Source organism: Homo sapiens, chromosome 9 (assembly GCF_000001405.40).
Source record: "Homo sapiens chromosome 9, GRCh38.p14 Primary Assembly".
In the NCBI taxonomy this organism is placed as follows: domain Eukaryota; kingdom Metazoa; phylum Chordata; class Mammalia; order Primates; family Hominidae; genus Homo; species Homo sapiens.
The window spans coordinates 4097270-4124276 of NC_000009.12; the positions used below are offsets into that span (position 1 = coordinate 4097270).

Consider the following 27007-nt stretch of genomic DNA (forward strand, 5'->3'; position numbering starts at 1 on the left):
TTCCAGGATTCAAAGTAAAAAAAAGTATGAGTGAGTCTCTGCTTGAGTGAAGATCTATAACATAACAGGATGTCCATCCTAGAAGAAGGAACAGGGAAACACACAGGCCTAGGTGAAATCCTGGGCCTCAGTGCCCACCTGGGCAAGAAGGGGTGGGCTCAGCTGATGGTCTTCTCACTCTATCCTAGAAATCACCAGCACACCCTTCAGTGAGAAGGCAGAGGAAGGGAGGAGGCATCTCTTAGGACCACCTCCGCCAGCTTCCTCCCTCTTTTTTGATTAAAGATCTCAGGAATTTATGGGTAATTCAATGCAAAATGCCAGAGATTTTACCAGCTTCGCATACTGACCAAAATATTTTGCCAAGATAAAATATTTTAGAATAAAAACAACCATCGGTATGTGCAGTGCTATTGTTGTTGAATGTGAAGCACACTGAATTGCTCAATATGAAAAACATCTCCTGGTTAAATCCTGACTCTGATAAACACAGGCAGTTTATTGAGATCATATCCTAAGAACCCCAAAGGTGCCAGATTTGCATCATCCACAAAAGCAGTGGGAAGGCCCACTAACCAATTAAGACACACACAAAAAAACCCCACAAAACAAAAAAGTCTGAATTCTAACATATTTTCAATTTTTTTTGTGGGTCATTTCTAGGCTCCATTCTGTTCCATCGGTCTATTTTGGTATTTGTCATATTACTCTTACAGTTTTACGTATATCAGAAATAGTTCATAACTTTTTAAAATCAGGGTCTCAGCATCACACTGAAAGGCACATAGAGTCTTCCACACAGCAGGACACTGGATGATTAAAGAATGAAGAGCTGGTGCAGTTGAGAGATATGAAAATAAAAACAAATTCCCATCTCTCAGGATCTCACTGAAGCTACAGAAGAATTCACTTTCGAAACTTTGTAACACGTTCTTACTTAAATGCTAGTTCCCTTTTGCAATCTGAGTAATGACTGCCTTTAAAAAAAATCTTGCAGCAACACAAAGCCATGTCATTCACTGACCTTGGTATATTCCTAATGAGATGTCCCTCTGTGACACAAGAATTACTAATGGGGGGCTGGAAATAATGAATGGAGGAGTAGAAGATGAATGATATAGAAGGGACACCACTAACATTTTCCATGAGCAAGATCGATACACGGTGTAACAGAAACATAACAAATGGCTTCATCGACTAACCCTCACCCCTGAAGAAAGCAACCCATAGGTTTGGCAGCAGAATCCAGTAAACAAATTACCCTGAGAGATTAATTGGATGGGAACTAAGGCCTCTGCAGCATTTCTTTCTCCCAACTATGTATCCTACAACTGTGCCTTAAAACCATCGGTGTAGTTCTAAAAACGTAATCTCAAATTTATTGAAATATTCTGCCTCATCCTTTGCCGTAATATCATACTTCTTTACCTTTTTACTTTCTGTTTATCGTAAAAAGTTTTACGATCGAAATGGAAATGTAAAATTCCAAGGATCACGATTTAAATAAAAATATACTCTTCAATTAATTTCCCCTAGAAACTTACTCATTTGTCACCCCAAATTAGTTCTCACGTACTGCCAACAGACATAAACCCGCATGCAGAGCTCAAAGTAGGAGATACTCACATCCAGGTCTCAATGTGTTGATCCCAAAACTCCCAATAGTCAGCTTCAGAAAACACACACTACAAGTAAGTCTGAAGCCCTGACACATAACAGACCAGAATGTGTCCCGAAGACACATCTGGTTGACCCTTCCCACTGCCCTCAAGACAAAGTGCAATGTCCCACAGCTTGGCTTACTGCAGTCATGATGGCAAGAAGGAATAAGAGGCATGGGCACCTGCAGCAGCCTGCAGGTGGCCAGCACATAGGGCTGTCTGAATTAGATTCCTAGGGCTGCTATGACAAAGCATCACAACCTTAAAATAACAGAAATGCATCGTCTTTAATGGGTGGCTTAAAATAACAGAAATGTATCATCTCATAGGTCTGGAGGCTCAAAGTCTGAAATCAAGGTGTGGGTCTGAGGGCTCTGAAGGAGAATCGGTTCTATGCCTCTCTGCTAGTTTCTGGTGGTTTGCTGGCAATCTTTGGCTTGCAGATGCGTCACTCCAATCCTTGCCTTCACCTTCACTTGGAGTTGCCCCCCCGAGCCTCTGTCTTTGCACATCACCTTCCCCCAATGCACACATGTCTTTGTGTCCAACTTTCTCCTTTTTATTAGAACACCAGTTGCACTGAACCAGGGCCTACCCTAATGAATGCATTTCAACTTGATTCCCTCTCTAAAGACCGTGTTTTCACATAATGTCACATTCTGAGGTACTGGGGGTGATGACTTCAACATACCTCTTTTAGGGGAATGTAATTCAACCCATAACAAAGTCCTGCTCCAAAATGCGGTTTGACTCTCTCTAAGTCCCTTCCCAACTTAATTTCTATTGGTTTCTGTTTTGCAGGATACAATAAGTTGCATATTAAGTATGAAGAGAAATATCATATTTTAAAATGTCTGCATTGTACTCATACCTCACCTCATTCCACAGAGAATTTAAATTGATAAAAGATTTGTTTTCACCTTCAAATTCCTAATATTATTTTGGGTGAAAATGAAAAGATTTACATCATAACATAAAGACTTCGTCATCTGTTTAATAATCTCTTCACTTGGGCAATTCTCTCATGTAATTTCTCTGACTCTCAGTTTCCCAGCCTGTAAACTGGAAATAATTAGACCACTCATTCTGCCTCCCATACTGGATTTTGTAAGAATAAAATGACACATACTACAGAAGAATGTTTTGAAACGTAAAATTGTGTAACAATAAAAGGTCATGGTATTCTCAATCTGACTTAGTTTTCTTTCTGTTATATATCGGTAAAAGAGTTCCTAGAACAGAAACCAGAACAGGTGGTGTAGTATGCGGGTACTAGGTTTACACTGGGAAGTCATTTCCCTTCCACCATAATTGGCCCCGCTCCCTGCCAGGGCTGAACTGTTAAACCACACACTATCCTAGTCATTAACCTTACACCCTTACATGCATTTTAGTCCCAAGGAAAGAAGATAAATAACTTCTGGAAACATGAGAGAGAGTATTTGTATGTTTTAAATGGGGGAGTACAACAACATAGGATAAAAGACACCTGGATAATCAGGGAAAACAAAGGGGAAAAAAGCTCACTTCCGATACACCATGAAAATATGATTCAGAGATGTACAGTTTTTTGCATTAAGTAAAAACGTACATTTTCTGGAATAACCAAATTCAAAAGGACAAAATTACATAATCTTAAACAGGATGAAATGATTCTGTGTCAAATTCTGAGGGCTTTTTTTAACCAAAGGAATAAACCAGTGGTGTCTCTTTCTTTTTAATTTAGCAGGACTCAGTTGACTGTTTCTACAAGTAGTAGTATAGAATTATCTAGTGTTCTAAGTGGTATAATATTGAGGGGGGGACAAAGGAAAAAAACTAATTCTTGTAAGTCTCCTGAGCATAGAAAGCCATTTTACTCATCTATGTTATCCCTCTACGGTTTTAACTAACCCTGGGGTAGAAACTGCCCCCATAGATGGAATTCTACGTAATCTATGTGCATGGCACCCCTCCTGGAACCCTCTCGTTGTACAATATCAGGGAACACAAAATAAATGGCACTGCTGGAGTTATGTAATATAATAGCCAGCCCTGGTGTGAATGGAGGAAGGAACTGGGCTGGGGGCCCCTGGAAAACAGCAGAGTATGAAATGAAGGAAACATAAATCACAGCATCTTCACGGAAGGCTGCGGTGGAACAGAAAAAAGTACTGGCCAAGGAAACCAACAACCCTGGGTCCTGGTTCACAACCCAGTACTTACTGGTGTATGACCTTACATAAAATCACTTGAGCTGTTTCCTCGCCTTAAAATGGAAATAAAAATTGCAACCATCTTTTCTACTGCAACGGATTACTGTGAGAGTCCAGTGAGATTATGCATGGGACAGTGCTTTGTAAACTTGACTTCAATGGAAGATGTTACTCTCTGGGGTATAGCACAGCTTCCCTACAGTGTGTCTCAAACTATGAAAAGTCTTTTCTCTCTGGGGTCCAAAATTAAATGTCCAAATGCAGCTGTTCTTACTTAATTTTGTTCTTTCATGAGCATAGTGGGATATTTATTATTCTGTATAAACCATATAAAGCTGTTATCATTTGTCAGTGTCTATTATTGCTACTAGTTGTTCTAAACAAAATATCCCAAAACTCAGTCTAGATTCAAGTCTCCTGGGTAGAACACGTTAGCTAAACAATCTTATAATTTAGAAATTATTTTTCTAGGGTAATACATGTAACCACCAATAATTATACCTACTATATTCCTGATTAAGATTCAGAAAGCTGTTTGTTTTTAAACTGTTTCCAATTAGCTGGTTTCAAAAAAAGTTTAATCTTATAAGCACTGCCGGCTTGACATAGTTGTAGATCTCAAGCTTCTTTTTGGCTTTTCTTATCAAAGTTGGGTCATGATGGAAAGATAACTCTTTCCTGTTAATGAGTCACTGTATCTCATGCCATCTTGCACCAAAAGTGCACCCTTTCCACAACTTATTCCAATCAGAAGAATGAACTAGGTTTCACTTCCAGAACAAAGTGGCAGAGCATCCAAGGACACAGATGCTGTAAAACTGCAAACTTAGACCACACATTTTCTGTATATTTTCCATATATTATGGTTTTAATATCAATGCTGAAATGGATGAGCAATTGATCACTTATAAGGATTATTCTCCATCTAAGTCTAGAAATCTGGCTTAAAATACTGCACTATTTCTGCCCCAGGGTTTCTCCACCAGAAGAAGATAAATTCTAGACACAACCATTCTTCTAAGACAATTCTCCATTTATGTCAGTATTTCTATAAGAAAACCCCAGGGTCAACTAAGTACTTGGAACAGTTTACATTCCTTCCTACTATAATTCTGGAAGCATGAAGCATTACTTCCCCCATCAAGTAGTCATCAGAAGCTAAAGAGGTCATGGTCAGGGTCCTTGTGAGGCTGGGGAAGCGGCTAAGCGAAGTGGTTTTTTAAGCCAAGTATCTGTGTTTCAGGCACTGACTGAAATCTCAGAATAACGGCCCTGTCTCTACAATGAATAAGGCTTATAAATTCTGGTTCCTGTCACTCAGTGTTTCTCAACCAGGGGCAGTTTTTCTCCACAGGAGACATACAGCAATGCCTGAAGACATGTTTGTCACTACTGAGGGTACAGAAGGTGCTATCGGCATCTGGTAGTTAGAGGCCCGGGATGCAGCTAAACAACCGACAATATCCAACAGAGCCCTTCATCAACAAAAACCCAGTCCAAATGTCCAAAATGTCAATAGTGCTGAGCTTAAAAAGCACTGCCGTAACTAGTAGGATAGTATATCTTACTAGAGAATATAAATATTATAATAAATAAATCTCAAGTCCCTAAGACACAGTCTTAAATATTAAATGTCACCTTTTTTAAGCACTGGATATGCTTTTTTTCGTAGTCAGTGGATGGAAAACACACACAAACAAATACACACACATAAGCCTTTCAAGCACTGTTGCAACCTCCATTTTCTTTTCTATGTCATCCTTAAGAGCTTTACATAGAAGGAAAAGACAGAGGAATAAGTAGGTGTTGGAAAGACAGGAGGCAATAGAAAGGAAAAATACATGTAAAATGAAAAAAAAATCCCTATCTTTTCTCTGTGTTTGGACATGACATAACACTCCAGTCAAATAAAAGAGGCATCCTGCTGGAGCCAATGAAGTTTTATTGCCATAGACATGAACATCATAAAATTTTCCAAAAGCTAAAACACAAAGTTTTGTTCCCTAGCTATCATAATCACAGTAAACAAATTCAACACATAGTACACAAAAGGTTTTTCATTTAGCTGTTTCTACAGTAAGAAGAAATATAATTGTGTAATCTTAAAATTAAAATTATTTTTACAGACTCATTAGGCTTCGTTGGTCAAGAACAGCACAGGAGCCTTGAACATTTAGAATGTGAACCTGAGTACAACCCATAAGACCTTCCAGCCAGTAGCCATTTCATATTGTTTCTCATCAATACCATGGAGACATTACCAGAGCAGGCACTCTAAGGAGAAGCCCGGCAACTGAGAAGATACATTCAGGGAACACGAGATACCACCAAATTCACTGAGAGATTAACTTATTAAAAGATATAACCTTATAATCTCACTGTTGGAAAGACAGAAAAAAACTACCAATTGCTGTTTGAATCCTCTCAACACACAATGACCAAGAAGTCTTCCAGTCTGTTCCTGGACTCTGTCATCCCCATGTCACCCTCATGGTAGAACTAACACAATACCGTTTCTCAGAGTGTCTGCTTACACACTGCTGAGTTCTGTAGGAACTCAGATGTATGGATACTGTTTTTAATGCCTACCAATTTTAAGAGCATAAGACCATGAGGGTGGAAATCAATGTATTCTCTTGGAAGAGGTCCCTCTTGTTTTCTGTTTGACTATATTCTGGTCTGGAAGCATAAACACAAGTATATTGATGGCAGGCTAACTTGGAACAACCTCTTCAATTCCACCTTGTTGCTTTCAATGGCCCCTTGCAATTCTCCTTGATACATCCAAGGTGGAGTAAGGGTAACACAGCAACGCAAGACTAAGGACATACACAGTGTTTGGTAAACAGAAATTCACTCCTTCTTCTACTCTTCTCACCTTCCACCAACCTGTCCCTCAACGATGGAATACAGGGTAGGCACCAATGTTGTCATGACTCTACTCATTTCACTTTAAATTAGGTAAGTCAGTCTCATAATTTTAGATGTTACCTAGAAATAGGTGGTCCCAAAAATGGCATCAGTCTAGACTTCTCATCTGATCTCCAGATTCACTATTTGAATGTCTAAAAGGCTCCTCAAACTTAACAAGTCCAAAATCAACCGATCTGCTTCCCTCCCTAAATCTCCCATGATCATCCCTATCTCAGTTAAAGATAACCCCCCTCCTTCCAGGTGCATGAACCAAACCTTAAAGTTACCTCTGACACTTCTGTCTCTATACCTCATATGCAATTCAGGTCTACCTATGTTTAGATAGCCAGAATCCAACCAGCTATCCCAACTTCTACCACTGGATATTAAGTAGAAAGACCAGACAGAAGGCTACGGCAGTGCCCTCAATTCTAAGAGGTTTGGTCTTCCAACTTCCACTCCTTGTTCCCCTTCAATCTATTCTCCACATAGCATTTAGGGATTCTATTAAAACATAAGTCAGACCCTATCACTCCTCTACTCAAAAGCATCCTTTCAGTGGCCTCCAAGGTCCTAAACAATCTAGCCCCCATTTCTCCATCACAGTCTCTTCTCTTCTTCCTCTTCACTCCACTCCATCCACCTTGGACTCCTTGATGTTTCTAGAACACACTTGGCCAACACTCCTGCCTTGAGGCCTTTGCACTTGCTATTCTCTCTGCCTGGAACTTTCCTCCCCCAGGTATCTGCATTATTTATTATCTTCCCCCTCCAGAGTGTAAGCTCCAGAAGGATGGGAGTCAGGGGTCTGATCTGTTCCCTGCTGGATCCCCAGTGCTTAGAAGAGAGACTGGCATGAAATAGTTGCTTAATAAATAGTCAAATGAGTGAAATAGAGATAGTTGTTAGAGGCCTTGCTGTTTTGCACCTGAAAGTCACATTTGGAGACCAAGAGAACATGCACACCTATAATTAGATGAACAATTCAGTATTAAAATGTAAGCCAAATATTTAAAGATCTAAAATATCTATAAGTGAAATAATTATGTTAATAACCTTAGAATTTTTCCTTATGAAGACAATTTTATTTCCTTTCCTCTTTTAAATTTCATATCATACCTATCTGAGTGAAAATGAAGGCAGAAACAAAACAAAGTGATTTAGAGATGGTCAGTAGGATGTTTTTTAGAAATGCATGGATTCTGTACTTAAGAATTTGAAATTATCCCCCATTGGAGACACCTTCAATTAAGCCTATTCTAATCTTGGCTAAGTGAGAATCCAACTTCATAATTTCACTCCCAGGCACAGCTGTTTGACAAGTGCAGCAGGAGCCTGTCAAGACACTTGGCAGCATCATTCCTTTGGAACACAATGGACTTTATTTTTCCTTTTTGGCAACCCCTATTACTCACTGATGGCAATTAGCAAACCATCTTTGGAGGAAATGTATAATCAGGCAACTAAAAATGCCTTTTATGAAATTCCTCCTTGAAAATAAATCATTGACACTGCAAATGGTCAATATGTACTCTTAATTTTAAACTAAATTGCCCATTGATTTACCAAGATCTATTTTCCTGACTCTGTGGTCTAGTGACATTCATTTTTTCCGAAGTTCTGAATTCTTGAAAAGTGATAGTGACACAGTTGTTTGTTTTGATTTACTATCTCAATAGAGTAAGCAGTTGGAGTGATTTCTCCCTTATTCAGATTATACAGCTCTGTTCTTGACTGATTCCACCATAAAGCCTCATTCTATGGGCACAGCACAAAACCAGAGTCACAATCTAAATCTGGCCTTTCCAGGACACACAATAGAACACGATCGGGGTGACCCAAGCTGTAAGAAGTTAGAGTCCTCACCAGCAGTGGGTCAATTCACTAGGCTGCTGGGGGAAATACTTGCTACAGGGAGGGACAACTAGAGATAATTACAATAAACTCAATCCATGCCGCAAGAACCTGAATACTTCCCACCTCAATTTACGATGCAGTTTGGAGCTTTCAGAAACAAACGGCACCTGTCCCATTGTCACACCTTTATAACAACTTGTATCCCAGTACACCTTCCACCAACACCTTAGACAAGTTTCGACAAGCACTGCTGAATCACTTGAGATGGGCCAAAAGGTCAGGGCCCTGAAACTTTGTCAGCGTGATTATCTAAAGCCACTGGAAAGCACTCCATGTGTTTCAGAGAACAGGTAGAGTTTTCATTACACAAAAGCAGCTTTGTTTCTGTATACGTGACGCCTCCTAATTAGAATCAATGATTTTTTTTTATTGTCGCTCCTGATAAGCTTGTTTGCCTAGCTTCATTTTCCTAAAACACTTTAAACGTTTCTAAGAAGGGCGAATGCCGGTAGAACACTGAGACAGGCCTTGACCCAGGGCTGTGGTATTGCATGATGTTTACAATTTGTCATCCTTGGGGGTAATTTTGCAAGCTTAAACACACTAAAGGACATATTATAAAGAGCCAGGCAATTTCATTTTGTTTGAATATATTTATGGAAATGGACCAAAAGTGTCCATAGAGGCACATTGTCATTTTTTCCTTGAGTGTGTGCCAGTTCATGACCAAAAGCAAGCATTCAGAGAATAGAAGAGCATTTATGACCACATTGTGTGTATCAAATAAGCTACTTTATGAACAGATGGGGAATATTGTGTTTCAGGGTCTTAGTAAAATAGCCCTTCACACCAAATTTCTGTGCACAATGGTAGAACTCTCAGTGATTCATCTATAACCTTGCCCTTGATAATGAGCAGATCTCCCTTAAGGGTAAGTGCCTGTGGGACATGAAGACATCACACACACTCACGGCTTAGAAAGATGACGAGCAGCGGGGAATTGTGCCCCAAGAACATGTAATTTGGACAAGGTGGGAAAAACTGAGTAATCCACTTGAGATAGGGAGCATTTTCCCAGCAGTGGTGATTGTATGGCAATGGAATCCTTGGAGAGTCAATAAGAAAAAAAATGGTTGGGCTGGGAAAGATTTAATAAGTTGAAAAGCAAGTTATAGGAGCCAGCACTGGAAAGAAAAAAAATAAATGGTCTTTAAAGCTCTTTGATGAGACCAGGTCGCCACTCATGGAAAGCTCCAAGATCAAGATTGAAATGTGTTTTCTTTTCAAGGAGATATAGAAAACTGAGGTAAGTCAGAGAAGAAGCAGGGGGCACTTCTAGTTCCTTGTGGCAGATACTATACTCTGTGTTCACCAATACTCGGTGTTTAAGTGTCCTCCTGGACACACAGGAAGACCACTCTTTTTCCAACTGCCCTTGCAGTTAGTTGAGGTCATGTGACTGAGTGCTGCCGAATGGGATAAGAGAAGTCAAGCCTGTCACTTCCATGCCTGGATCCTAAAACCTCTCCACAATCCTCAACAACATGTCTTTCACCCTAGACTCAGATTGCAGAGCCATTAGATTGAAGGATCCTGAGTCACTATACAATCATAAGGAGTTAGCCATATTAGAACAAAAACAAGAAATAAACTCTTATCATAGCAAGCCGCTGAGATTTGGGTTAAATTATTTTAATGCATTGCAATAGTATTCACTTCTTATCATTTGCCTCTTTAAATATCATGTTACTGCCCAAGAGTATCTTTCATCTCATTCCTAAGCACAGTGATCTCAGAGACAATCCAGAGCAATGGAAAAATTAATTTGTTTTCAGATCAGAAGAACACAGGTTACCTAAAAAAAAAAAAACATGGCTGGCATCATTTTCTGAGGAGCCAGAGACAACAAACTGTTCTTTTCTTTCCTATGAATTCACTCAAAACCATTTTATTTCTTTATTTTTAACATTTTATTATGGGAAATTTCAAATCTTCACACAGTGCAAATAACAGAATAATAAACCTCTACGTATCCATCATCTAGCTTCAAGTGTGTGTGTGTGTGCATGCATGTGTGCACATTTGAGGTCTACAGTATGTTAATCGTTGAGCCACGTGCTATGGTTAGGACTCAAAGGTGAATAATTAATGATCTTTGAATATGTAGTAGGAAGAAGAGAGTCTGAATCTCAAATCCCAGAAATTACTTAGCTCTGAGGGTGATAGTGAGAATTAAAGTAATATAGTAGCTCAGAATTTCTGTAACATAGTCACTTTCTTTCACCTCCATTTCTCTGAAAGAGTTTTTGGTCTAAGGAAGAGGTTTAATACTTTCTTTCTCGTTAAAATGTAGATACCCTTGGGAGAGCCAGCACACTGAATCTTTTCTCAGCTGTTCACCATTATATATATGAATTTCTCTTTCCCACAGTTCTTTCCCAAAAGCAAGCCTCAATTCGATGGAGAGCAAAAATAAGGAGCAAGGCATGGGGCCTGTGAAGCAGCATGGAAACTCTGAGGGAAGAAGGTAGTAGGGGTCACCACAAATGAGATGAAAGACAGATTTCTATTTCAGAATTTTGTTTAAGGCTGAGTCCTCCATTTCCGCTTCATTACAACTGTTCTCCCAACCCCAAATCCATTCTCTTGGCTAATAAATCACCATTTGCTTTTCTGGGCAATTTTCATACTAGCCACTGGGACGAGGGATGTGGAAAGAGAGTGACAAAAAAGAGTCAGCAGTGACAATATATCTCACCAAAAACACAAGCAACAGGCCCAATACCCAGGCCCCTATTTAAAAATGAAACCACTTTCAAACAAACATTCTAAAACACAGAAAAGATAACTGTCTGGTGAGAGAAGCCTGAGAATCTGCCTCATAAATTTTAAAAGCAAGGATCCAGGACCAATCAGATGCCCTCTCTAGAACATTCTGAATGCCTGAGTCCACTGACCTGGGCCTTCAGCTGTGCTCTCCGGTCAACAGACAAATGACTCTACAACCTTGGGTGGCTCAAACCCCAGGGGAGGGCTCGTGCTGCCAGAGAAAGAAGCTCAAGTAACAAAAGGCAAGTCTTCCTTTCATGCTGCCTTCCCCGGTCTAGAGAGACATGGGGTTCTATGGTGTTCAGGACTGAGTCACTGGGAATGGGTGCCATTTTGATGGGAATTGATTTAATTTGTTCTCCTCTAAACAGCTCAAGCATTTCACTCTGTTCTGTATTAATTTAGTCTGAGCAGAAAAAAAAAATGTCAAAGTAAATCTCAGCAGTGAAGGAAAAAAATCTTGAAAAGGCTGACAAGCTCAGCATAATGAGCACCAGTCCAAACCTTTGTTTAACAGTACAATACTTCACTCTCTTTACAGATTATAAAAGGAAATATTTAACTAATGGAAAGCTACTCATACACAGGATAATGTATGCAGCCTCTGTCCACATCTTAATCATTCTACATAACTGATCAAATAACTTTGGTCTCTAGTCTTCCCCAGATTTTTAATTGTTTTCTTTAAAGTCTGCAACAGAAAATGCTTTCATGCTAGTCTACATTTACGTGTTTCCCTAGCTGATCACTTGGCATAAGATAAATGTGTGTTTCATATGATAGCTGCCAAGAGATATGTTTTAATGAGGAATTAAACTATAAACTTTAAGAGATAATGGAGAAGACCTGGGGAAGTCAAAGTTTCATTTCACATCCACTGAAACACAGTGCTTGCTACCTCAGTGATGCTACCCTCCTAAGATATTTTTTATTGACTAGATTTGCATTTATATTAACTAGGTTTCCAATTCCTAAACATGATCCCTATTTGGTAGTGTAAGTCCTTCATGACTTCCTCCAGCCTCACTTCCACTCCTACCTAGTCTTGGACCATCAAACTACTTGAGAATTGTTTCTTCCTCTGTGCTCTTTCATACTCCTGTGCTATTTCATATGGTGCTGTGCAGGTTTAAATGGCCTCCTTTACTTTCTCTGTAAGAATTACTGTCTTCTTTCAGGATGCAGTTACCTCCTCTAACAAGCCTGCCCAAACTCTACAGGCATACTTGAGAGCTTCTTCCCCTAGTTTTCCCATTAAAAGTTTGCATAGCTGTATATCACAGCCCTTGTTTTACTGTTTACACAACTGTCACCCCAATAGATTGTGAGCTCCCAAAGGGAATGTCTCATTTATTTCTGTATCCCCCGGGTAAGGTATGGTACATGGCTTGCACTCAGTGATCAAACGAATGAATCAACACACAATGAGTGAACACATCAGTACACATACTATTTGGGTAAGGTAATTATATACCCTAATTTTTTCCAGGACAATCCTGATTTAGACTGACATTCCAGTGAGACAAACTCACTTTCACTCTCAAAAGTGTCCTAATTTGAAAAATAAAGTATATGCTCACCCTAATTGTAGAGCATTAGGGTATATATTTACCCAAGCATATTGCTCCTGCCTGCCCAGAAACTGGTTATATCATGTTCCAATTTCTCAACAACTTTTTAAACTAATCATTTAAAAAATTATTCAAAATTCTCCTTCTAACAGATTAACCATTCTCCCTACTCAAGCTCAGAACCTGTGGCCCAAGAAAAGGAAAATAAATACTGTGCCGTGAAATAAAAACACACAGGTTTCATTCCACTTTCTCACCAAACCCCTATCTATGCCAACCTCCTATATGAGCGATGACACCTATTAGACAGATTGGTCTCCCCTCTGGATGAAGGACACATGGCTTCCCAGAGTTAAAGCAGACGTAAAATCAAGCCTTCCCTACTCAGGCTCTGGGCTAGCCAACCACAGATCCACTGTCCAGGGTTACAACAAGCATTGTCTTATTGATGGCTTAGAAGCCCTGACTCAGCAATTACAGTAGAAACTAATAAATCTACCTGGAAAAAAAAATAAACATCTCTTTCCCAAATCATTCTACTCAGAACTTGAAGAAAACATTTCTGAAAGATCAAAGAGAATCAGACGACCGCTTCTTTTTGGAAAAATAAATGTGTTTGGTCTTTCACTCTACACATTCAAATTCTATCTGGACCCTAAAATGACAACACGACCACTCAAAGAAAAGGTAATCAAGAAATATTCCAAAGGTCACAAAGGGTGTTTCTAATATATTGCCAAACAAATTTTCCACACTGGTGCAGTCTGAAAGAACTGAGAAAAACACATTTTAGAATCTATATACAAACAAATCTCCAAAGGTTCGACATACATTCCCTTAATCAGATCATTTATGAAAAGATGTACATAATTCTTTCTAATTTTAAAGACATTATTTCAAGGCATGAAATTAGAGAAAAAACACAAAACAAATATGAACTAAAAGGAACATTAACCATCATGTAGTTAATGATTTTGTTTAATGAGGATAAAGCCTCAAATATTTAACCTCTTAGGGTTGCTCTCATTATCTATTGTTTTTCATTCATCCTAGAATCACAGGGCAAAGAAACATAAACCACGATTAGCTTTGAAATGTTTGCCCAAATCTGCTACGAATTTATTTTAAGGACAAAGTTCATGAAAGGTCAGTTCCCCAGGTAAACTGAATTAAATGCCTTCTAAAGGGAAACCAAATTAAACCTTTACCAAATGGCAGGTTTCTAAACTGTGTTTTGGGATATGAAATCCTATTTGACAGATGCCTTATAGACTGTGGTCAATGCCCCATCTAATGAGGATTTCTGTGGTTTCACTTTTACCTATACTAAGGGATTTGTAATTTATGGTGACATATATGTGTCTACACTATGTTGAACATGTGCTTACACAGATACATATGTTTGTATCTCTTACGTAAAATCGCTGGGAAAGAAATCTTAAGATTTGGTTTTATTTTTTAAATCAAGGAGTTTGCTTTTAATATCTGACAGACCGATGCCTTGTGGGATATGACTTGGAAGCTACACTCACTCTGATCTTTACCAGATGTTCACTGGTGGTGTTTCAGCCTCAAGAGACAAAGAGGATATTAATGTTAATTTTATTTATTTAATCACATCAGGCAGATTTGATAAAAGAGAAAATTCAATATTTTAGTAATTTACCAACTCTTCAGAAATGTCCATAGTAGCAAAAGTGTTTTGAAGATCATTTTCTATTAAAAGCTGAAAGTCTGCATTGTGTTTGGAAGAGAGAACACTCTATCTTACCTTTAAAAATGGGAACAGGGTGACAAATTTGTCAGTTCCACTGCCAAATCAAGGAGGCAAGGAGGTGGCAACAATGTATACATGGTTCAGCACAAGACTCCTCCCAAACTTCGACTAATAATTGTGAAGAAAGAGACTCTGAATGTGAAATGGACACTCAGTTGAAAGCCTTCTGCCACTACCAATCATTCTAATATCTTATCTCGTCTCTGAATTTTATTACAAGAGAACATTAAACTACCCTAATCATTGTCAGGACATTGATAATAATGTAGAGATTACTGTCAGGCCATTGAGAATAAGTAGAGATGTACTCTACTAAACACTACATCCCTGCATCTTAACAGAAGTAACAGGGTAGGCTTTTATTTATCTAGCACTAATGTTAGAACTGGAAAACTTTTATAATACTGTTCTCAACCTTGACTGCTCATTAGAATCACCTTGGAAGCTGCATCCCAGGCCAATTACATCACAAATTTTGAAGATGGGACCCAGGTACGGGTACTTCGGATGATTCCAGTGTCAGCCAGGGTTAAGAACTACAGCCTCAGAAGTTCTAAGTATGGAACAGCTAAATAACAGTCGTGGAAAGATCAATTTCTCTAGGCTTTGTTCTCATCTAAAAAAATGATATGGGTGGAAAGAAATTGGAGTGTGATAGTAATTGGCTTTCATTTATTTTTAGATAAAATATATCCTTATAGTTATGAAATATTTCAAATAGGCAGTAAAGTATACCAAATACTATAACAGACACCTATGACACCTATATTACCACCATTAGGTGGTAATATCTGTTTCAGTTCTCTCTCTGGAAAAAAAGAGAAAGTAAAACCCTCACATCCCATCTCTTTTATTTCTTTCCTTTTGAGATGTAACCACTATCCTAAAATTACTAGTTACCCTGCCCCCATGATTTTATTTATCTACATAAATCTAAATAAATATCACATAATTATTTATCTACCAGAACTATATAATATTGCCCGGTTTGTGTTTAAATATACATAAATTGTATTAATACTATATATACCCTTTTGCACATATTTTTTTCACTCAACAGTGTTTTTTGAAATGTATCCATGTTAATAGATATATATGTAATATATATATGCGTATTTTAATTTTAAACTCCTTTATAGTATTTCATTAGGAATAAGCCACGGTTTATTGACTTATCTATGGACAGTTACGTTATTTATACTTTTTTGAAAAACAAAAGCAATAAACACCTTTTCTCATGTCTCCTTGCCACCATATACAAAAGCTTCTCTAGGGTAGGCACCTAGACACAGTTTTATTGGATAGACTCATCTTCAACCTTACTAGGTATTACCACATTGATCTCCAAAGTGGTTACACCAATTTAGTCTCTCCAACAACGTTAAAGGGTATCCACTTCTCCATACCCTTATTGATACTTGGTATTATGATAATTTATTCATTATTGCCAATATGAGGATTATGAAGTGGGGATTAAGAATTATGCTTACATGATATTTTCCTAAGGTCCCTCTGGTCATAGACCACATCAACACTGAGTCTTATCAGAATAAAAGCGAATGTGAAAAAGGCCTTCCACAGCTTACAATAAATTTACATTTCCTCAAGACATGTCTTATGAGGCCAAAGCTGGCTTGTGTACCCATACATCAGGCCACAAAAGAGGAATGGGGACATGGTCCCAGCTCTGTATTTATTTTCTTGAAATCATAATCCAATGTTACTTAAAAAGCACCACTGCCCAATATTCAAGCCAAAGAAAATACTCTGGATTTTGCCAGGCAAAATGCCTGTGGAGAAATGAGTCAATTCATACAAAATTCAAAACTGGTCTTTGGTCAGTGACATTTTCATGAAAATCCATGGGTGGGTAAAAGTTTTGAACAATTCCTTTTTGCCATTGGATAAAATTCATCCAGGAAAAATAAACAAAATTTAAGCGGAGGCCCACGTTCCCCCAATTCCCTTACCAGCACTCCCCAACCTGCTAGCACAACTGCTTTCAGTCGTACGTGAAGGCAAGTCATCAGTGTTTCTGATCCTAGCAACAGAACCCTGGGTCCCTCTACTCACTCTGCCCCAGATAGGCAGACAGCCTTTCTCATGAGAAGCACCAACAGACAGAGCATGCCCAAGCTCATTCAGAACACACTTACTGGGCACCGTTACCCAACCATTGCACAGTCTTCAACTTGATGGTAAAAAGATCTACAGTACAAACGTTCTCAGGGTGCACTCTGTTGGAACCATTCACTATGGATATTGTTAGGGATGATTAGTGTACATCTATTGTTTGGGTTTATACTTCATGTTGTCCTTTTAGGAACATGAAACAGGGGTTTGGGAAAGGGACAAATTCAGAGACTCCATGACTTGTTCTGACCTGTGACCTTACCATCTCAGAAAAACTTAATAGAATTCAACAGTTATAGCTGATAATGCTCAAATATTTTGATAATTCTGAGATTTACCAAGGTTGCAGTTGGTCTAAGCTCAGAAGGTCAAAATAAAGAGATTCAGCACCTAGAAAGTACTATAGTTAATAGATAGCAGTGAATGGAGTCGGGTATTTTAAAATGTAATATTGGCATATCCCGGTTTCTGACTAGCTGAGGTCTGCCTGTCTGTCTACAGAGGCCTTTACTTCTCAAGCCCTTTGCCACTGGGTGGGAATGTCTCTGCAATCGAGGCCAGGCCTGGAAAGAGAGCAGCTGGTTGGGCTTTCCACAGAAGCAATAAGAAAGAGATCTACACAAGGGTGGAGTTGTCGGGGTAAAAGGAAAAGAACCCATTCTCTTCTTCCAGTAAGTTAACCAAATAATAAATTCACAGCCCTCCCCCAGTTCTGCCACCCAGAATCCTGAATGATGTGAATCCCAGGGTTCTGATAAGTCCAGGGAGTTATGGTCAGAGATTCTGAGAATGCGTTCTCTCATGCATGACATGAAATTTGGCATGAGGGAGGATACCAGTGGCAGCCACTTACTGTAAGCAAGCCGTCACTGAGTAGCCCTCTCACACACCCCTATTTTACCATAACTTCCAGAAGCTCTTTGTGTTGCTTGTAGTCATGGCCACCAAACACAATGTGGTCATCATTTCTTTCTTGGGTCAATAAGCTAAGCAAGTGAAAATGACTAACTCTATCATACACAGAAAATAGCAGTTAAACATATATAAAACTAAAAAATGGCCCGGCTCTTATCATTTAGACTGCTCCTAGCCCTGCAGTGTATGACACAGCCACAAAAACCAAAGGTCACTTCGCATTTCCAAAAGAAGAATGTGGCCATTTTACTTGTCAAGGATCGTGAGCTTTCAGTCAACTACCATCAGATTTGAAGTCAGTGGGATATGAAACATTTTAATTGTAACAGTTGTATGTGTGTGGACTCCAAGACTATAAATATGTGTTTTGCAAAAGGCAGAAAAATACATTTTTTTCCAGGTGCATATCTACTTTAAAAACCAGGTATTCTATCTGTGGATTACAACTTAAGAGGACTGCTAAACTTTCACAGCAAAATTAATTGCTGCCAGTTGGCTATCACCCTACAAATCAAGCAGATGACAATGTAGCAACCTAACAGTTTTCAGAAGACACAATGCCCATAATATGTATGTTTTAGAAGAAAATGAAGGCTTCCTGCTAAAAATATATAGCCCCAGAACTAGAATTGCAGCATTAATCAGCTCCTAAGAAACCCTGTTTATTATGTGCACTATTACATGTGTAAATAAATGCTTTGTGGTCCTAGATTCGATACACTGTTAAATCATCAATCTGAATTTTATAAAGATTCCACCTAGAAGTGGGGAGTGGGCAGATCAGAGGAAGAGAAATCATCTCCCATACCCATTCTGAACAATACAATGAGAAGCTATGCATAAGCCTGCGAACATTAACCTATCAGCTTATTCTTTCACTGAAGTATTTATATTTTTGATATTTATCGTGCACTTCAGCAAAAATCAACTTTAAAAAGTTATATGTCTTTGCAAAGCCTGGCAACAGTAGAAAAATGGGGAAATCCTATTGCACAAAAATTAATTTTGCAATGCAAAAAATATTTTTCTGGATAATTCGAGCCTTTATGTTTATTTCAGTAAAGCCAAATCCAGTGAACTATTTTCAGCCAGGATTAGTCAGAACTAAAAGGTTGGACTGTTTTCCTTCAGAGGCTGAATGTCTTTCCTGCCTGCAATAGGCCGGTGTGTTCCAGAGTAAATTGAATTGCCTTCAATTGCTTGTTTCTTTGTGGCATTTTTAATGCAGAACCCTAGTGACAGAGTAAGGTTTTGCTGTCTGGAAAGTAATTATTCTTTTCACTCATATAACCTGGCATTCTCGCAATGTATCAGCTTCAGGTTTTCCTTGAGAAAAATCACAATGTGGTGCATAGCGTTGTGACAAGAAATGCAATTCCATTCCACAAGACATTCTTAAAACTCTTTCAAAAATACCTACCGGGCAGTGAAAAAGTGCTTTGAATACTTGCATTATAGCTATCACCTGTTTGGTTTGCTTTTACATGAATAAGAAACCTTGGCCAATCTATAATCAAGCATACACATAGTCCAGATTCTTTTTCATCACTGACATACTACAGAAAGAAGGAACTCGGGCTGGGGAACCACAGTACAAATAAATTTCTGTTTAAATTGATTTATATATTTCACATATTTAGTACCAGCACCATACTCAATATCCAGGGAATATATAGAAATCTTAGACTTTAAATGAAATATTTCTGTCCATCTAAACTAATATAAAACACATGTTCTTCTTTTTCCAATACTTAAGTGAGCTGTCTGAGATTGTGCAAAGCCATCCTGTGATCCCAAGGGTGATGCCCTGTTTATAAACCCTGAGGGTTTCTGTGAGGTGTGAAATTGTTGTGAAACCATTTAAGAATCGTATTATTCAAAAATAGTAAATTTTGCCAAGAAACAGAGAGAGTTCCAGGATGGATGCTGTGAAAGGCAGAGGCGAGGAAGAAAGAGACATCAGGCCCACTTCCCTCAGCACCAAAGGCTTCCCTGCTCTTTCTCCTCATATCTCTCTACAAAATTACCTCTTAAAATTAGTTAGGATCCTGTGAGATTCTGCTCCTGTGTATCCCCTGGGTGATTTTATGCCGACTATAAATCATTAGCTAGTCTCTCAACCCTGGAAGGTACAGAGCGCAGGCATGTGGATGCATGCCGAAACACTTTTACTAGCCAAGTTGCTAAGTGGTGAGTTCCTTTTCAAATATCAAAACCACTCTTCTCTCCATCCCAATTCTAGCCCGGTTATTGGAGGGAAGAAAAAGTCACTGCATATTTGCTTTGGAAAAGAACTAAAGCTTGCTGATGTGCAATCTGTGTCCTTCTGCTCTTGCACATCCATACACATTAAGGAAATTCAAAGTTGGTACCTGGCTGGCATCTCCTTTCCAAGATTTTACAGAGTGTGGCAGACTGATCACCTGCTGGGATGGATCGTGTACCTTTGCAGAAGGAAATATAGCAATGGAGAGCCACTAACCATGAAAGAAATCTTCCCCTTCCTCAAGCTGAAGGGGAACCCCATCTCATGGATACCTAGACCCCCACGCATGCAAACTCCATGGGCCGAGTTAGGAAAAAACACACGTACGCAAAGCAAGCCGGGCCTTCAAGAGAGGTCACCCCTTGCGCTTCGGAAACTCACCGTACACTTGTTGGGCTTCTCCCCAGAGTGGACTCTCATGTGGATCAGCAGTTTATAGCGGGCGTTGAAGGGCTTGTATCTTCGAGGGCAACCGGCCCAGAAGCAAGTGAAGTCCTCCCCTTTGCGCTGGTCGATGTGGACCTTCTCGATGTGCCGCACGAGCTCCTCCTGCTGGTCGTACAGGGCGCTGCAGTCGATCCAGCGGCAGCAATGCTTGCCCCCGATGCCGTCCATCTCCCCGTCGTCGTCCAGGGTGGCCTGGGGCAAGGCCAGCTGCTGGGCGTGGGGCCCGAGCTCCGGGTGGTGAAGGTGCGCATGGGCATGGTAAGGGGGTGGGGGGCCTGGGGGCGGCGGCAGAGGAGGGAGCGGAGGCGCGGGGGGTAGGTCTACGGTGCTGCCCGGGAACTCCTCCAGGCGTTCGGTCTTGAACAGGCCGGCCGACTGGCTGTCGGGGCCCGGCAGGCCATGCTGCACCACCATGTGGTTGACCAGGCCTGGCTGCAGGCCGCCGTGCTCCAGCTGTTGCATGCGCTCGTGCTCCAGGGCCCCGTCCTCGCCGTAGGCCGGCAGCGCCAGGCCTCCAGGGGCCACCAGCACGCCCTTCTGGCTGCCGGGCACCGGGCGCGGCTGGGGAATGCAGCTGCCGCGCACGCCCAGGAAATGCCCGTAGACCTCCGGCTGCGGGGACAGGTTGGCCGGCGAAGCCCTCGACCCGTTGATGTAGGCCACCAAGGACGTGGGCGACGTGCGGATGATGGTATTGAAATCTATCCCGATGCCATCGGACAGCGGGGACAAGGACAGCGCTCTCTTCTTGGAGCGGGCCGAGTGGGACCTGGTGGATGAGTGCCGAGGACTAGGGTAAGGAGAGTGGCTACTTTCCGTGCCAAAAAGGTAGGATGGTAATGAGTTAGAGACACTATTGCTGGACATGGATGTCCCGGGAGGAAGGCTAAGGAGATCCCCTAGATCAAGGCCATTCTGAGAGCCGTGGTTGGAGAGCGAAGGGAGGGCCCTGTAGCCCTGGGACCACTCCTGCTTCATGCTTGAGGCCGACTGACTTTCCGTCAGACTCAAGGTCGTGGACGCCAAAGACTCACGCGAAATAAGGGACCTGGAACAGCAGCCAGAAAGGAAGAAAAAAAAAAGATAAACATTTTAGCAGGATACGGATTGCTTAAGAGCTAAAAGAACACTGCATTGACAATCCCTTAAGTATTTCCCCTAATTACATTCTGTGCTAAACACACATTCTTGGGCTAAGATAAAATCCAAGGCTTCCAGTTCCAGGTAAATAACATTTTACCAAGAAGAACAATAAAACCTAATGCTCACTGAAATAATGTAACAAAAGATCTATTGTTATAAATAATCTTAATACTTGAGTAATAAATAGTCCTTGCTTTATTTTTAAATAACTTTTTCAATATGGGGGAAAAAGGATAGAGACCTGGGAAAAATTACTGATACCTGTCAAAGCCAACCAAATAAGTATTTGTTGAGCACCTACTATGTGCAGCATGTTATGACAGGCTTTGCAGAATCTCAGCCTTCAAGTAAAATCTATTTGGGAAAGTAACATATAAACTCATGCTTTATTTGAAAAAAAGTAAATCCTCAAAGTCAAAGGGTTGTCCAGGGGACTTAATAATTTCACAATTTAGTTTCACTGATATTAAGGAATTACTCTGATTTTTTTAAAGATAGTAATTCACATTGCCAGTAATTAGTTACATCAAATCACCCCAGAAAATGAAAACAATATAAAAAGCAGCTATAATATATAAGGGAGTAACAAACTGATAACAAGTCATATCTGGAATTATGCATTAGAGCCATTCGGGATTTAATCACACTTGCTAGTTGGGTTTTCTGTGAACTCTCGTCCTTAAATCCAAGCAGCTTTGGGCCAAGAGCAGATCGTTCACTTTCTGTAATTGACTTTTGCAACAATTCCTCTCCTATTCTTCTTACCCTTTACAAACACACCCTATGTCTCACAATATATTATCTGCATATCAAAATGGTTCATAATGTAGCTCTGGTCACTTTAAAATTCATTTTGCTTTACTGTGACATTGTTGCCTTGAAAATAAAAATCACTTCTTGATCTTTTGGCTAACTTTAAGTGTGAAAATAATTGAGAAGAAAAGATACGTCCCTTGGAAGGAAAATTTGCCACAGAGGCAAGACATAACACGCTGTATTTCTTGACTCAGACATGGTGTGTATCAGAAGAACCTGGCTTATTATATGTACCTGCATTGACTTTCTACTGAAGTCTTTTTTACTGACAAAAAATTAATCACAACAAAACGTTATATAAAACGTGTCTTCTCAAAATGAACACATTGTTTCCAGCTGTTAAACATCAACCTGTCTCAAAGGAACTGAGGTAAAAGAAGCATTTTCATCCCACCTGTTCATCTTACTCTGTTTCACAAAATGGAGGCCACAAACACCATTTCATACAAGCATATGATATTAGCAAGAAAAACATCTCAGCTCCAAAATGCACAGTACAAGGTGATAACACCATCATCAACGAGATGTTACCATCGAGTGAAGTAATGTTTACCAAAGACAAACACAGCAGGAATTTACATCCAGTTGCCCTTGACATAGATTTTCCTCTTGGTCCACATCCTTAAATTCGGGTTGTAGTCTTTTTGCAACCTCCACAGTGGTTCTGGAACCATCTAGTTTTTAATTCCCCACGGACACTTTTCAATTATTTTCCCAGCACACTTGCAGCATGTGGCTCTTCCTGCAGAGCTCAGCTGAAGGCTCCTGGTGATTGGATGTCAAGGGCCTTTTGGTCTCTTCCCCAGCAAGATCGAGGAATTGCTTTCGGACCCAAACTAAATTAGTAGTCCTATCGTATATGAGACAGAGACAACTGACTGCTTTACACCCGCAGGTTGAGAAGGTTCATAGAACATAAAGAACCAGAGCTTTGGCAGAGCTACATGCCTGAATGGATGCACATTCTCAGGTGCTACAATTGCCTGTCACTGTCATACTGGAGCATATTAGATTGTTAAGTCATGACTAACAGACAGAAGTATGTTATCCACCTATATATACTTTGCTTATAAAATTGTATTATTTGGTTTCAGGGCAGCCTATAGTGAAACGTTCATTTGCTCCACTGTTGAGAGATGATTCTTATTTCTCTCAAATTATACTTAAATATGGCTCAATCAAAATCTGCACATAAAGCCATGCAGGCACATTATATAACTTTTTGGGCATCTGAGTTTTCTAAGACAATTATATATTTTTCAGAAAGCAAATTCTATATTCTATTCATTAAAGTATTAATATGAACAGAGAACTCTCTTCTATCTCAAACACCTAATGAGAACAAAACTTCCCCAAATGGCCTTTGCCTAGCAGCCAGTCTTCCTCCTGTGTGATTACTCAGATCTTTTAATCTTTCAAAGCTCTAATCCATGACATCTCTCCCCAGTACACTAGCTCCCAGTGGAAGTTCTCTTCCCAAAGAAGTTATATACTGTCTGCAATGTGTCTTAAATGTAGTTAACTTCAGGCATCTGTGGGTGTTATATTCTTCAATAAATTTCAAAGTCTTTTAACAGAAGGGATCATTTTTATCTTCCCAGTGCCTGCCAGAATGTAAGATACATACTAAGTACTCAAAAAACTGTTGATTAGGAAAGTAAATAAGTAATCAATATAGTGACAACAGAACATTATTTATGGCACTCACAAAGCATTTTCCCTATATATGATCTCATTTGATACAACCTGTCAGTTAAGTAAACTGGATTTTAAAAATAACTTCTATTTTACAAAGAATAAAACAGGGTTTGGGAAATTTCTCCCAGTGACACACACACACACACACACACACACACACACACACACACACCCCAAAGTTCTTAGAGAAATACAAGTGAAGCTGTGCTTGATAGGCAGTGACCTACTGGATCATACACATTCTCTATTGTTTTCTTTACATTGTATCCCACATGTCACCCACAATGCTCTGCTTAATTGAAAGACCTGGTATAACAGGCTTAAAGTCACACAAGCTACGATGGGCACCCAAATTTTCTGTTCTTCCTGCAATAATATGTTGAATGAATGTGAATGGTTCCAAAGGATTCTGGCCTCTAACTCCTGCTGCTACCCACACGAGGCCCACAGCAAAGAAAGTGACAGCTGTATCATTATTTGAGAGCAATCTCCATTTCCATATGCTCATCTGATCCTACTGATATTACTTCTGGTGATTGGTTAATTTGGAACTATATGTAAAAGGAAAGGAGATATATCTTGAACAAAATAAAACTAATAGGAAAACTCAGAAACCATCAGCAAAAATGATTAGGGTGGCTGGTTAACCAAGAACTCAGTAACTTGTATGGGGCCATAAGAGCATGAGAGGCATGATGACCATGTTAGATGTTTGCTTCAATGTCAAGCTCAAAAGAAGTTCTAATACATCACATGGAGAATTCCTCAAAAGAAAAAATATATTCCCTATATATGTAGATCATGAAAAAGACGGCCAGTCCTAGTCTATCTGGAAATTCGTGTCTATGTGCCTCAGCAAATCCCCTAAAAGAATTAGTACTGTATCTAAAGACAGGATGGCTTTATAAACTGTTACAATTTACAGAGAGCCTGGAGTGCATCCTCAACCCCCTTAGCCTTCTCTGACCTTTGTGGATATACTCTCAAAGGAAACCATCACCAAGAATTTCTGATTTAGGAAATAAAAATCTAAATACAGTGCCTTTTTGGATCTGGAATGACATTCGGTGATGGCTGAACTTTGTCACTGACAAGCTAAGCACTTGGACTTTCTGTGTCCTGGTTCCATCGGGTCTTAAACAGAAATATTTGCAGGTAGTTTATGAAAATTCAATCATAAAATGCAGGATTACAATGCATGTGAAAACACTAGAAAAGCTAAGTATGCTACCAAAGCCATGCAGGTGGCATCTGAGTAGAATGTTTCTTCTACTACTCAATGTTTGTTAGACTGCTCTATGAAACTGCTGTATGATGTTACTGTATCAGCACCTCAGCCTTGTCATTTTAGGGGAAATATATACAATGGCCTCTGTATTCGAGTTTTGGCAAGGCCTAAATCGAGAATGACTCCTGGATCTTCAAGACGGTAAGGTATAGTTTGCATTTATCATTAAGCACAGGTAATCAGAAATGGTTGGGAAATTAATCTAGGCAAATATATAGCCTTAAGGCAGGATTCTTATTATTGGATTAAATAGAATCCAACAAAGCTAAGGAAAAAGAGCTTTTCCCCAAGATGAGCACACCCAAAAAACATACCCAAAGGAGGTCAAAAGAAAAAATACAAACAGCCAATAAATCTATGAAACTTCATAGATTTATTTATGAAAACTTTAATATTGTCAATAATTAAGAATGCAAATTAAGATAAAATAACATTTTACAGATCAAACTGGCAAAGTTTCTAAACTAGTAAAAGTTCTAAAAATAATAATACCTAGTAATGAATGGTGTATTAGAAAACAGGCACTCTCTTGGACTGCTGGTTAGTTTATAAATTGCTAGTGAGTTCCTGCAGTACAGTTTGAGAATATGTATAAAAAGCCTCAAAACTCTTTTAACACAACAAATTTTACTTTTAAGAATTTATTCTAATAATCAGAATTGTGCAACAAAAGATGTACAGAGCTGATCCAATAAAGCATTATTTATAATTTTTAAAGAATGGGAAACAACTAAGTGCCAACTAACAAAAGACTAATTTTTAAAATTATAATTTTATTTATACACTTTCTTTATAAAGTGGAATCCTGGACAGGAAGAAGCCATTATATGATGTTGAAAGAGGCTTTTATTATAAAAGCTTATAATATATTAACTGGAAAAAAGTAATTAAAAACTATGTAGATTACTAGATCAATTTAGTGGAAAGGAAAGCCTATGTTTATTGTATATGTTTGACTATAACTGGAAGGATGTATATCAAAATTCCACCCATGGTCGTCTCTGGGGACAGAATTCAGGATGACTGTCATTTAGTGCTTGGTACTTTTCCATGTTTTCCACATTTTCTACAGTGAATAAGAATTACATCTTCAGGAAAAACAATACATTTTGCAGCTTTTCATAGGGCAGCATCTCTCAAACTGGACAGTTCATGCCCCCTTTTCCACTTCCATCCACTCCCAGCATGCCCCCAATGTATAAAACGCTAAGCTGATTCTCTCTCCATCTTCTCTTTATCTCCAGTAAAATGTTGAACTTTGCCTCTTATTGAACTGTTGCCCCTTATTCTTTCTCTCCATTGATGAAATACACAAACCAAGGCTCACAAATAAATGCAACCTTTCCAAATTGCTAAAAGTAAGTTCCATATTTCACCAAGCAATTCCCAATTCCTGTTTCTTTGCTCATCCTGAAAAAAAAAATTCCATAGAAGGACTCAAATAATAAATACATAGTCAAAAACACTTGTCAGTGAATCGTTAAGGTGTTGTCTTTTA

General features: G+C 39.3%; 1 protein-coding gene across 20 annotated transcripts in view; it reads right to left on the bottom strand.

The window, feature by feature from the left end:
• The window catches only part of GLIS3 (GLIS family zinc finger 3), a 666339-nt gene that overhangs the window by 273143 nt on the left and 366189 nt on the right, over nt 1-27007 (bottom strand). For all 20 annotated transcript variants that reach the window (XR_007061257.1, XM_047422890.1, XM_011517763.3 and 17 more), the window contains one exon: nt 20499-21612. Coding sequence is in view for 19 of the 20 variants with exons in the window: in XM_047422890.1 (XP_047278846.1) it covers nt 20499-21612 (1114 nt within the window). In the remaining variant the exon portion in view is untranslated. The remainder of the gene's footprint in view (nt 1-20498; nt 21613-27007) is intronic.